The sequence below is a fragment of the Homo sapiens genome, chromosome 1 (assembly GCF_000001405.40).
Source record: "Homo sapiens chromosome 1, GRCh38.p14 Primary Assembly".
Taxonomy (NCBI): Eukaryota; Metazoa; Chordata; class Mammalia; order Primates; family Hominidae; genus Homo; species Homo sapiens.
The window spans coordinates 185,476,167-185,490,579 of NC_000001.11; the positions used below are offsets into that span (position 1 = coordinate 185,476,167).

At 41.2% G+C, this 14,413-nt stretch overlaps 1 long non-coding RNA gene across 1 annotated transcript in view; it reads left to right on the forward strand.

Annotated features, from left to right (window-relative positions):
* The first annotated feature begins 1,846 nt into the window (after positions 1-1,846).
* Positions 1,847-14,413, forward strand: part of LOC107985239 (uncharacterized) — a 202,893-nt gene continuing 190,326 nt past the window's right edge. Inside the window, exon 1 of the long non-coding RNA XR_001738340.2 lies at positions 1,847-2,912. This is a non-coding gene — a long non-coding RNA (uncharacterized LOC107985239). The remainder of the gene's footprint in view (positions 2,913-14,413) is intronic.

The following is a 14,413-nucleotide window of genomic DNA, read 5'->3' on the forward strand; positions in this document are numbered from 1 at the left end:
GGTGGTACCATTTCTCAGGAAGTTCTCCATGAAGCATGACTATCAGGACCCTTTCTAAGTCAACTCAAAGCAACCACCTTGTTGAGCTGCTTTGTTTGCTGTTGCAGATTGTTTTGGAAATGTGTTTTAAGTATTTCTGTCAGACAATAAAGACAGTCTGTAGGCTTGAATTGTTTTTGCAAGGCTGATTAGCTTAACTGCCCAACAATTATTATATTCATGTTAATGTCATTGGTGTTGGGATGTTACTGGAGAACTCTGGATTGCCTGTCTTTAAGCCATGTACACTCCCCCATTGGGTTTTTAGAACTTGCTGGTTAGCAATGGTGAGTTTGCCAGAAGCTGATGAATTGTAGTCATTACTTTTACGTTAATGTGCTCTCAAGGTGACTTTCTTTAAGCATTTTGATTACTATGTGGAAAAAAAAGGAGTGTTGAGACAAACTGCTGTGTAACAAATTACTACAAATTTATTGGCTTAAAACCACACCCATTGATTCCCTCATAGTCCTGGAGTTCAGAAGTCTGAGCTGACTTGACTAGGCTGTCTGCTCAGGGTCTCACAAGGCCAGAATCAAAGTGTCATGAGAGATATTGCACATGAGAACTGTTTTGTCCTCTCAGATGTAGATTATATGACTGTTTTAAGGAAAATCAGTATCACATGACTTGATACTCACAGCTGACCATTTAGCTGTAGAGGTTTAAGAGGATGAACATTTTGGTATTCCATCTAATTTGATGCAACTGAGTCTTGGTATTTATTCAGACAACATAATTTCTTCTCTTAACCAGCAGACCATTTTTTTCCTCTGACATTTTAGACATAGAATGGATACATTTAAGTTTGGCTTCAAGCACTGTATTGAGAGTCAGCATATCCAAAATGGACTTTCAGCTCTGCAACTTGTGCAAATGATTTTTCTTTGCCTCCATTTTTTCCCATAAAGATATCAATACTATTTTTTACTCTTTAAGTGTATTTTATTTTGCAAAATGCATGTTCAGAAGACTAGCGGGTAGTCTATAGCTTCTTGATGTTACTCTCTTTCTTCCTAAGCCCATGTTCATTTTAGATCATCACACTGGGAGAAGTATCCTCTTTGTCAGGTGGCTCTGCATGCACTATCCCTTCCTTCCATCAGTCCCTTGGTCACCTGGTGCAATAATGTCATGTAACATTTGTATTGTACTTTACAATTTGTAAAGGGAACACAACCTATTCACTATCATATTTAATTATTTCCAAAATTCTGTGAGGTAGGCATTATTTGTATTTTACAAATGGGATGAATAAGATCCAGAAAATTAAGTGACTTGTTTAAGATCACATAAGAAACAGAGCCAGGCCTGGAACTCAAGTCTTCTGAGTTTCAATCCAGTGTTGTTTCTTCTATACCCCAGATAAGCAATAGGACAAGCTTGTCCAGCCTGTGGCCCACGGGCCTCAGGCAGCCCAGGACAGCTTTCAATGAGGCCCAACACAAATTCGTAAACTTTCCTAAAACGTTTTGAGATTTTTGTTGCAATTTTTATTTTTTAGTTCATCAGCTATCATTAGTGTATTTTGTGTTTGGCCCAAGACAATTCTTCTTCTACTGTGGCCCAGGGAAGCCAAAAGATTGGACACCCCTGCAATAGACAACAGGACTCACAGAAAGAGACAGCAGCACGTAAAATAAATTTCAGGCTTGCGAAATGACTTCAGTTTTTGGTGATTCTCCTTTCTTGCATTTGTTTTGGCTCAATTTTTGACCCTTTTAATTTTTCTTCTTGTTTTCCTAGAATCCAAATTAGCATATTGGCTTTGTTCTCATGACTGTCAATATTTGTCCTGGGCCATGGCCAAGGAGGAAAGTGACAGAGGGCAGAGACTATCTAGTGTCAAAAGCAGTTGCAACAGTTCCACATTGGTCTCAGATGTTTGCAATTCTGTGTTTAGTGTTGTTGCTCACTAACAGCTGAAGTCTGAAAAGGGAAGGCATTTTATTGGAGGAATTTCTCAGGTATAGGCACTTCTCTAAGACCTATGCCTTTGAGATTCTGCAGACTCCCTTCACAATTAGCAGAAAATTTATGCACAAAATTTTCCATACAAATTAAGGAATTTACTCATCCTTAGCACTGTCTCCAAGTCCCATACCAAATTCAATTATTCATGTATTCAATAATTCCAGAAACAGTTAATTGAATAGCAATGTACAATGGTGGATAAGAGGTAAGGCTCTGAAGCCAGCCTGCCTGAGTCGAAATCCAGGCCCTGCCTGGGAGACCTTGGCAAGTAAGGTCTCTCTGTGCTTCATCTATAAAATGGGGAAGATAATAGAGCCTACCGCACAGGGTTGTTATGAGGATTGATGGATTATTAAATGTGAAACACTTGGAACAATGTCTGCCACTGTAGTATGCAAGATTCCTTAAATGCCCCTCAAAGATGTTCTCCCCTAATCCCCAGAACCTGGGAATATGATGAAACATCACTCCCCCTTGTTATGCAGGCACAATTGAGTTAAAATAGGAGATTCTCTGGGTGGGCCCAATCTAATCATACGAGCCCCTTTAAAAGCAGAGTGCTTTCTTCAGGGGCTGGTAGAGGAGGAAGTCCGGGAGTTTCCAAGTGTGAGAAGGACTTGATGTGCCATTGCTGGCTTTGAGGAGAGGGCACCAAGTGAGAAGGAATAGACACCTTCGGAGCTGATAGACACCCCGGCTGACAGCCAGCAAGGAAATGGAGACTCAGTTCTACAGCCTCAAGGAAGTAAATTCAGCTAACAATGCGAATGAGCTTAGAAGTCGATTCTTCTCAGAACCTCCCCATAAGAGCCCAGCTGGCTGACACATTGACTTCAGCCTTGTGAGATTCTGAGCAGAAAATCCAGTCAAGTCTTCTTGGACTTCAGAACTACAGAATGGTGAGATATGACTGTGTGTTGTTTTGAGTCACTAGGCTTGTGGTAATTGGTTATACAGCAATAGAAAAGTAATAAAAGGGCCAGGCACAGCAGCTCACGCCTATAATCCTAGCATTTTGGGAGGCTGAGGAAGGCAGAATGCTTCAAGCCAGGAGTTTGAGACCAGCCTGAACAACATAGTGAGCCCTTGTCTCTACTAAAAAATAAATTAGCCCGATGTGGTGGCACACACCTGCAGTTTCAGCCACTCGGGAGGCTGAGGCAGGAGGATGGCCTGAGCCCAGGAGTTTGGGGTTACAGTGAGCTATGATTGGACCACTGAACCCTAGATTGGGCAATAGAGCAAGACCCCATCTCAAAAACACAACAATAACAAAAGAAAACTAATATAGTGAGAAATAACGATTCTAATAAACATTAGCTATCATTGTTCCATTTATTATTAGACCTCTTCAGCAAATATGTCCTGCATGAGGGACTGGGGAGACAATGCTGACCCAGCGTGGTGCCAGTCCCACAAGGAGTTTCTGGTTAAGACGAGAAATCATCTCATTTTTCCTGACATCCAGGTTCTATGAAGATCAACTGTTGCTACATCTTGGACACATTTCACTTCTTTCATTGTAAATACTCATTTTTCACTTTCTTTCATTTTTAGCCAGTGGCTAGACCATGTTTAGCCACCAGCAGCCCCCATTTGCCTTGCGTGAGTGGGGAATAGGATTTATTGATTGTCTCCTGTGCATAACCGTTAGGCAGTCTGGGAAGCTCCTGGCATTTGTGCTGAAATATTGTAAGCCAGACAATAGAGACGTCTGTTTCTAACAAAGGATCTATATAATCCTTTATCTCTAGAATCCACCACCTGGTGTTCTCAACAGCGGTGAGCACAGAACAATTCCCAGTTTAATCAAACTGGAATACAAAACGGGCGAGGAGGGCTGCAGTGTGCCATCTCCTTGAAGTTGTTCCAAGAGAAAGGGACCCTTTGTTACAGAGACAGCTCATTTTAGAGTTCAGTGGCCTGTGACACTTGCCCAGCTGGCAGCCCAGCAGGGACCTTCTGATACTTTCCTACACTTGAAAGCCATTTTTGGTGTGAAAAACAGTGAAACTGTCATTAAGGGCTACTTGTTGGGAGGGTCATGGGGGAAGAAGAATATGGAAACAGTGCTTTAAAGAACGTGCCTGCAGCAATTCATGATTTTTATTCAAATAGCAGCTGTCTTCACTTTTTGTCTTTGTTTTCTGATAAAATTGAGGATGTTTGTCTTTGCTTTCTGATAAAATTGAGGATGTTTGTATATGTTTACTGAAGGTAGTGGTAATAACATCATTGGATTTTTTAAAAAAATATAATCCATAGGTTTACCACTGAATTTTTTTTTAAATTTATTTTAAAGGCCCATGGATTGGAGCTGGGTTGGGAAGGGAAATTGTCCATTGCTCTAATCATTTTGAAGTACCTACTCCCTTTCTTGAACTGGAAACTGGTTCCTTCCTATAGAGATTTTTCAGGGGGAAAAAGAAGACATAAAACATTTCAAAACGTATTCTCACTTTAAAACAGATTTTATAGAAACCCAGAATTGTAGAGCCAGGAAGCTTCTCAGAGTCATCTGGTCTAACCCAGCCAAACTGCCCGTGTGAACAAGAGTCTTCATGACCACATTCCCAAGGGAGACTGTCCAGCAGTTGAACAGCAAGGCATTCTACAGGACAGGAACTTGGGGTAGACAGAATTGTTTTTAAATAATCATTCTATTACTTCCTGGCTATGTGATCTTGAGAAAATTATTTGTCTTCCCTAAGCCTTGGTTTCCTTACCTTAATGGGATAATAGTGTCTAACCTTTGGCCAAATGGTGAGGATTAAAAGGAATAATCAACGTAAAGTGACTCCTAGTGATTTCCATCTAGCAATAGTTTTAAGATTTTCCATGGTATAAGTAATTACAAGAAATAACTTGGGCAGATCTAGGTCTGGTCTGAAGAGGCTGGAGGATCGGGAAGAAGGAAGGGTGTTAGAATAAGTTCCTGAACTCCAGACCCTTATGTCCAACTATCTACTTGATATCTCCTCTCAGGTGTCTAATATGCATTTCAGACTTTACATATTCAGAACCAAGTTCCTTATCTTTCTCCCCATACCTGCTCCAAGTCTTTCCATCTCGACAGTAACTTTATCCATCCTTCCAGTTGCAATGGCCAAAATGTTGATGTTGTCGTCGCCTTTTTTTCCGTCGCTTACCTGTTCAACCTGTCAGGATATTCTATTGACTCTAGCTTCAAAATATTTCTAGAATCCAACCACCTCACACCATCTTCACTGTATCCAACTGTAGTCCAAGTCATCAACTCATCAGCGTTTTTCTTTTTTTGTTTTTGTTTTTATACGCCTGCCACCTCAGGAGCATCAGCGTTTTTCAAAGTAGGAGTTAGAATGATTCTGTTAAAATATAAGTCAGATCAAATTATTCTTTGGTTCAAAACTCTCCAATAGACTCCCTATCCCACTACATACAAGTCAAAGCCCTTATAATGGTCTACAATGGTGCTACTCAAGTATGGTCTATGGACCTGTGACTGTCTGCAAGCTGTTACTAGTCTATGAGGCGATTAGAAGTTTGTGTCAAAATGTAAATCAACTAGGTCACTAGACATGCTGTTTAATTTGCCTGATGTTTTGTTCATTCAAGACTTTCTCAATGAAGGAAGCAGTGCATTGATTTATTTTCTGTTGTGAACTCCTTATTTCCTTGAAATTTTATTTAGTTGAATATGTTGGTCTTTTACATTTTTAATATCTTCTGCCACTTTTAATTTTAGGATTCAACCTTCCTTCAAAAAAAATTTTTTTTTTTTTGAGATGGAGTCTTGCACTGTCGCCCAGGCTGGAGTGCAGTGGTGCGATCTCAGCTCACTGCAAGCTTCGCCTCCTGGGTTCACGCCATTCTCCTGCCTCAGCCTCCTGAGTAGCTGGGACTACAGGCGCCCACCACCACGCCTGGCTAATTTTTTGTATTTTTAGTAGAGATGGGGTTTCACCGTGTTAGCCAGGATGGTCTCGATCTCCTGACCTCGTGATCCACCTGCCTCGGCCTCCCAAAGTGCTGAGATTACAGGCGTGAGCCACCGCGCCTGGCCTCTTCAAATTTTTAATTTCCATTTTTAAACTTTTTAATTGGAATGATTTTTGATTTGCATAAAAGTTGCCGATATATAGAGTTCCTGTATACTCTTCACCCAGATTCTCTGTTACTATCCTAGAAAACCATAGTACAATTTTCAATGCTAAAAAATTAATATCAATACAATAATATCAGCTAAGCTACTGACTCTTTGGATTTCGCCAGTTTTCCACTAGTGCTCTGTTTCTGTTCTGTGATCCAGTTCAGGAGCCCACGTCTTGTTTACTTGTCATCTCCTTAATCTCCTGTGATGCATGACAGCTCCTCAGTCCTTCCTTCTCTTTCATGACCTTGACACTTCTGAAAAGTACTGGTCAAATATTTTGTAGAATGTCCCTCTATTTGGTTTGTCTGATGTTTTCTTGTGAGGAGATTGAGGTTCCATATTTTTGGTAAAAAAAATTACATTGTAGCTGAAGTAATATCAGTGATCTCAGTGCATCTAACGTGAGATTCTTGATGTCAGTATATCTTTTTTTTTTTTGAGATGGAGTCTTGCTCTGTCACCAGGCTGGAGTGCAATGGTGCAATCTTGGCTCACCGCAATCTCCACCTACTGAGTTCAAGAGATTCCCCTGCCTCAGCCTCCCCAGTAGCTGGGACTACAGGCGCTCACCACCACACCTGGCTAATTTTTTGTATTTTAGTAGAGACAGGGTTTCACCATGTTGGCCAGGATGGTCTCGATCTCCTGAACTCGTGATCTGCCCACCTCAGTCTCCCAAAGTGCTGGGATTACAGGCTGAGCCACTGTGCCTGGCCGTCAGTGTATCTTATTACTGGTGCTGTTAGCCATGATCTCTTGGTTAGGGTGGTATCTCTTGAGTTTCTATTCTGTAAGGTTACTATTTTCCCTTTTAAAATTTATAAATATCTTGGGAGAGATATTTTGAGACTTTAAAAATATCTGTTCCTCCTCAACCTTCTGACCATTAATTTTAGCATCTAACTGTGGATCTTGCCTGCAGTAATTATTATTGTGGTATTCTAATTGCTGTTTTCTATTTCCCTATTTCTTCTATTTTCATTAACTGAAATTTTTCTGTAAGGAAAAGCTGTCTCTTCTCCCTAATTTATTTATTCACTCATTTACTTATTCAGTGTGGACTTATGGGTATTTATTTTAGTCTATGGGTTAAAATCCAATACTACTATTTGTTTTGTTGCTCAATCTGTTCCTGCTTAGGGCCTTTGACTCGTGTACCCTTTTTACATGTCCCTATCTTTAAAAAAATAAACAAAAACAAAAAAAAAACCTGAGTTTTTTTTTCCTTTCTCTAATTTTACTCTAAAATATTTGAATCCTTATTGGGTAAGTGGGGAAAGATAGATGTAGGGTTGGTGAGATCTCATGGACATGAAGGCATCCTGTTGGATCTTGTGTTCCTCCAAGACTTTCTTGTAACAAAAGGAGCCTCAGCCACAGGGAAGCTGAGTATCCTGTCATATGGCTGTTGCTGTTTAAGTCATTTGCTGTGAGCAGAGTCACAAGGCAACACTGGGAACAACAGGCCTAACGCATGTCAACTCAGTGATTTTCAAACTAATACCTAATAGGAGGGATAGGAATCCCAACTTCTCATTTCTAGCCCAGTACTATTTCTGTGTTCTTGAGAAAGCTTAAGGCTGACTGTGACACTTCTGAGGCTATACCATCTGGTTGTCTCTCAGCTCTGTGGATTTTGAAACATGAGGAAAGAAAGAGGGAGTGGTAGCTTTCTCTGCCTCTGTAAACCTCATTAAAGTGATGTTTTTTGTTCCTATTGTCATTGGGGAAGGCAGTGATACTGCCAAGTAAGGAGTGGTTGATGCTTCAGATGAAATGGATGTTTGTGTTAAGAGTCTTTGTGTTAGATTGCCTTCTCGGCATCCCAGCTCTCAGCAACTCTCTTCCAGTTGTCACCTGATACATGTGGTTGAACAGCTTCTATTCCCTGTGCTCTTGTCTGTGACTAACCAGTGCTTCTCTTGTGGGATTAGTCTTCAGGATCACAGGACAGCTTGGCTTCTTCCTTCCTCAAGCAATGTGCTATTAATGCCAACCATGGGAACTTGGTGTAATGCAATACAGATACTTGAAATTGCTGAGTCACTTCACAGTGATGGTCATGTCTGTGAATGTGAGTGAGCCAAATAATGTGGAAGAAGAATGGTCTTTCAGGACATCACTAGACTTCTTAGACACTCTATTCTTTCCCACATTTAAATGTTTTCCCACATGTTAAATGTTTTGCCTTATGATGAATTCAGGTTAGGAATTTTCTGATACTAAGGGTTGAGAAAAGCAAATGAGCTATTACTCATGAGATCATATTTGTGAAAATGACTTAGATCAAATGAATTGCCCTTAAATCCTTTCTTGCTATGTAGATTCTTTTATTATTTTCTGTTCCAGCATTGTCCATAATTTGAAAGGTAAACCTAGTTGTTGAGTACTTTCAGATGGATATGCTATCAATGTAAGCCAGTGACAAACTGTCTGAGCCTGTTTAGACCTTGTCCCACAACGAAGTCTCCCAGGCTGAGAGAAGCTCTGATGCCCATGGCAAGCAGACAGCACGAACTGCTGGAGAGGGGAGCTGCTGACTCCCTCATCTTAATGGTTTATCCTTGGTTACTCTTTTTCTAAAAAGTAGAATCCTAGACTTATTTATTCATTTACTTTTACTTTTTTGAGACAGGGTCTCGCTGTTGCCCAGGCTGGAGAGCAGTGGTGTGATCTTGGCTTACTGCAACCTCCGCCTCCTAGGCTCAAGTCATACTCCCACCTCAGCCTCCCAAGTAGCTGGGACTACAGATGTGTGCCACCATGCCTGGCTGATTTTTTAATTTTTTGTAGAGATAGGGTTTTGCCATGTTGTCCAGGCTGGTCTCAAACTCCCGGGCCTCACAAAGTGCTGGGGTTACAGGTGTTCGCCACCATCCCTGGCCTGAGAATCCTAGATTTAAATCCCAGGTGTCTAGAAAAACTTATTCTTTCAAAATATAGTCCCCAATCCAGTTACTATGTGCCAGGCCCTGTGCTAATGTAGCTGTGATTACAGTCATGAACAAAATGGCTTTGTCCTCGTGGGGCTTAAGGTCTACAACAGCCCTGTCCAGTAGAAATATAATGGGAGTGCATATTATAACTTAAAATGTTCTAGAAATACATTTTTAAAAGCGAAAAGAAGCAGGTAAAATTAATTTTAATAACATATTTTATTTAACAATATAGCTAAAGTATTATGACATGTAATCAGTGTAAAAGTTATTGAGATAGTTTACATTCTTTTTATTGTACTAAGTCTTCAAAATTTTGTATGTGTTTTGCACTTATAATACATCTCAGTTTGGATTCGCTACATGTTAAGTGCTCAACAGTGTCATGTGGCTCGTGCCTACTGTACTGGGAGGTGTGGTTTACCAACATCCTACATGTAATTCCACAAGTCAATATTTAGATCCGGATGTTCAATCTTTTGGCTTCCCTGGGCCACACTGGGAGAATAAGAATTGTCTTGGGCCATACATAAAATACACTAATGATAGCTAGTGAGCAAAAAAACAAAAAAAAGAAAAAAAACCACCTCATAATGTTTAAACAAAGTTCACAAATTTGTGTTAGGCCGCATTCAAAGCCATCCTGGGCCGTGGGTTGGACAAGCTTGATTTAGGTTATAATGGTAATACGTGCTATCAGAGAAATGGAAACTGGCGTAATAAGCAATTAGGAAGGGTTTTGGGGATACTGACAGTGAAACTTGAGGGATGAGTTGGAGTGAGGCAGGAATGAAGGAAAGTAAGAACTGTCCAGGCAAAGGGAACAGCTTTTGTGAAGTCCTTGGGTTGAAAACGAGTGAAAAGGAGGCTGGTATGCTGACCTTTGTGAGAATGGATGAACAGCTCACATTCTTCTGTGAGCAGAAGAATGATGGTACTAAGAACAGAAAGAGAGAAATCATCCAGAATAAATCTGGTTTTAGAGGAAAGATAACTTTGATTTTAATATGGCTTTCAGGCACAAAAGATATAGGAAAATGGGAGGGAGGAAGGGCTGGAGATGTAGTTTTCAGGGTTGATGGAGCTGGCAAGTTAAATCTTTTAACATCTTTATGTCTGAATTTATCTTCAAGGGTCACTCATTAGGTGGGCTGGAAACCACTATGGGAAAGAGATGGGAGAGTCAAATAGATCAGGAGAGGAGGAGAGAGATGGAGAACATAAACCGTGTGCTAGAGAAGGTGACAGGTCATGAGGAAGAGATTAAACTCAGTGATGAAATCTTGGGGCCAACAGGAAAAGGAAGGGAAGTTTAAGACTAAGTGGTCAGAGCCTGGAGAAGTGGAATGGAGCGGGGATTAAGGCCAGCAGGTCAAAGGTGATTGGTGAACAGTGGCTTCCTTTAGTCGACTGCTGGCCGCATGGTGGGTGGTCGGTGGTAGGTGAGCCAGGTTTAAAGTAAAAGCAAAGAGTCTAGTAGACACTTTAAACAACTCATTTTATCAGCCTCCTCTACACACTGGCAGTTTCAGAGGAAACAACCCAGGGACTGAAGAGAGAGAGGCCATGGAAAATGGGCTGATATCTCGAAGAACAACAGAATGCCTCTAAGGCTGGAGAGAAAGCCGACTTGTCTGGGTCCTGAGAACAGCCTGCCCTGGCTGTTACCTCTCATGCTCTTACATTCTGGCAAACAAGGTGTCTGCTGCTCTTAGCAAATCCTAAAGAGACGGTGGTGATAACTGAAGTTCACTTTTCAAATGGTGAAGTGTCTCCTCTACCTACCACCAGGAGAAGCATAGGCATCTCTAGCTCACCAGGCCTCTGGCCACCAACCAGAAATTTTAAAGCTTGAACTCCATTGTGAGGCATTTAAAGCTTGCTGTGTCCATACTGAGAGCATGTGAAGAAGCCTGACTTATAAGGCCCTGGAGTTTGTGTTTTCTGCACGCTCTCCTGGAATGCTGAAACAGCAAAATGTTCTTCTCTTGGCAGCCATGAGAGAATGCAGCAGTTGGTGAGATGGGCAGTGAGCCTGCTTGAAGACCCAGTTGTGAGCTGGGCACCAACTGCAAATATTGCAATTCAAAACCAAACCAAACCAATCCATCCTACAGACCAAACGCATTTTAGCAAGGAAAAGCTGTGCTGTGTTAAAATAATGAGATGATGTTCTGTTGTGGGGTGATCCTGGTTTTTAAGGGCAGACATTTGCTCAGTGGTATTTGTGGAATTGTTGATGTCTACTCTGTAAGTCTTAGCTCTGACCATCTCCGCCCCTGTGATCATTAGGAACTGAGAATGATAGGTGCATGGATAATAAGGGGGAGTGATGTAAGTGACAGACTAATCATAAACCAAGACTGGAAGCATAACTTTTCATCCAGGCTTGTCAAAATAACTGCATGTCTACATTTTGTTATGTTCATTACACAGTGATTGAGAGCTGTGTTAAAAGTTTTTGAAACAATGAAAACTTTTTAAAAAATTACTAAAATAAGAGAAAATATGATAAGGTCTTTTGTTGTAGGCCATTCTCCTGGATGACAGCATATTTAGGCTTGTTTGGATGGGGAGGGAGAGAGAAAAGAGAGGTGGAAACAGAGGTTGGAAAGGTGGATGGGACTAGATCGTTTAAGGCTTTGGAGGTCATGACAAGGAATTTGAATTTTATTCTAAGCGTGATAAGAACCTGGGGAAATGTTTTATACAGTGAAGTGTTTACAAGATCTGATTTGTGTTTTTGTAATCTTCCTTTTGCTGTTGTGGGGTATAGCAATAGCAGGTCTACAGAGAGAGTGAACTTCCCATTCTAATTCTGGCCACGTAGCTGGTGCAAGGCTTGATTCCCAAGTGACAGTGCACAGAAACAACTCACAGAGACATGAAAGGAGCCAGATAGCACTATAGTCAGGAGTTTTCACTGCCCACGTTTCTTGCTGGCTTGCTAATGCAGGCAGAATCAAAGAAAATATGTAATATAAAGGGTTCTTTGTAGTTTTGTTTAAAGGGAACCCATGTTTAGGAGCAGGTTTGCAAAACTTGAAAATGTGATGATAAATGTCAAGTCTGACATGTTTAGGGGACTAGTGCATGTCAGCTGTGGGCTGAATAGACTCACCAAAGCAGAAGATTCATGGAAACAGAAGGCTGTCTTGCAGGTTTCCCAATACTGCTTCTTTAGGGTAACGCTTACCCTTAACAGGCATTGAAGGGGATTTGCCTCCAGAAAAACTACCTGGGATTTGAAGTCTACCCTTTCACTCCCTACTGAGACTGACTTACTCCACCCCTGGGTCCCTCTCCCTTCATTCAGTGGATCAGCATCTACTCTCCTGTTGGCCAGGGGCTCTGTGAGGCATGGGTGCACTGTGCCCTCATGCAGTTTACCCTGCAGAGGAGAAACAGACAAATAGTCTTCCTAATAAAGGAATTTTTAGTGCAAAAATTCCTTTATTACTGAAAGGAAATTTCAGGGAACAGATTACATGCACTCCTTCTTATCTTCCTTAGTTTGGAGTCAGTTAATGATTAAGAAGCCCCTGCTTTTTCCCCTCTGCCTCGCTGAGGGAAGCCAGGATGTACTCTGGTAACCCCAAGCCTCTGCATACCCCAGCTCTTCCTCTCTGTTTCCTCCTGACTCCCACTCTCCAGAGCTGGACTGCACTGGTTCTGCTAACCTGTTTCTTTCCTTCTGCTCTAGAGATTTCTGGAGAAGCAAAGTCTATTGAGGTGTGGGCCCAGACGTGTCCTTTTAGCAGCTGGGGTGGTTTTCCTTGAAGCTGCCCTAAAACCAGCCAGTTAGCAATCTCCAGCTTTTGCCCTTGGACTTTGCTGGCTCACTTTGTCTTTGCCGCAGGCACAGGCGCCCTGCCCTGCTGTGCTCAGCAGAGACCTTGGCTCTGCCTTCACATTTCTCTCCTCTATCAAAGCTCTGAATTTCTAGTCTATTCTAGTCTGCTGGCTCTCTGTTGAACCTTGTCTCTTTGTTTTTATTGTTTCTGAGACAGAGTCTCACTCTGACACTCAGGCTGGAGTGTAGTGGCATGATCTTGGCTCACTGCAGCCTCCGCCTCCTGGGTTCAAGTGATTCTCCCACCTCAGCCTCCTGAGTAGCTGGCATTATAGGTATGCACCACCACGCCCAGCTAATTTTTGTATTTTTAGTAGAGATGGAGTTTCCCCACACTGGCCAGGCTGGTCTTGAACTCCTTGAACTCCTGACTTTAGGTGATCCACTCGCCTCCACCTCCCAAAGTGCTGGGATTATGGGTGTGAGCCACAGCACCCGGCCTGAACCTCATCTCTCTTTATAAGACTTCACCACCTAACCTTCCAGACACAGGTTGGCACACTTCCCTTTTTTTATTTTTTACATCTTGAGCCTTGGGATCTGATGAATGTCTCACATGATGTCCCAAAGCGTCTATATGATAAGCTTTACAACTTGAATAGATTTTGAAAATGCATCTCAATTGAAGGTCATCTTTGTGGAATTTTATTAATTAGGTTTCTTTTAAAGTTTTTCTAAAAGGTATTTTTGTTTTCAAATTTTCTCCCTCTGTGTATAATTTTCTAAGTGGTACCTGAAACCCCCTGATTTCATTAGTCTATGTTTCCAATATCTACTGTTTTCCTTAAAGAGTATTTTGTGCTACATTTAAGGTTAAATGGCTTTATAAAAAGCACTGTGAATATTTTTAAATGTACATTTTGAACTTTGAATTGAGGTGTCAGATTTTTTACTGAAGCAATTACAGTTAAAAGTAATTTTAGCTCTATTTTTTAAAAGAGGTACACCCTAATAATTATGCCCTTGTGTGCATTAGTAAAAAAATGATATTTCTGCTATTATAGAACAAAAGTTCATTGGAATTGCCCCCTCACCCAGCATTCTGGCTTGGTTGCAAGTACATGAGGAAGGATTAAGGAAGTGAGGAAGGGTCTGTACCTTGTGTGTTTCACAAGGGGAAGCACACATATTCCTTGGATCTTGCTGGGGCTTTGGGAGCTATAATGCCTTGTCAAAACTTAGGGAGGATAACCCACTGACCATTTTTGGATTTTTTTTTTCCAGTTATAGCTTTCCTTGAAGCTTAATTATATATGAACATGTAAATAGAGAAAGATTATTAAGTGGCCTACAATGAGGTCAAATTGCTCATGGTTCTCCGCCTGCTTTTTGTCCCAGTACATGTGAATATTTCCTGGTAATAGACAATGAACCTGGTGTTCAAGCCTTTCAGGACAGAAATAGAAAAATGTTTGCGTAAAATCCAATATTCATTGGCTTTGAAGTGGTTTATTAGAGATATGTCTTCTCCTTCTC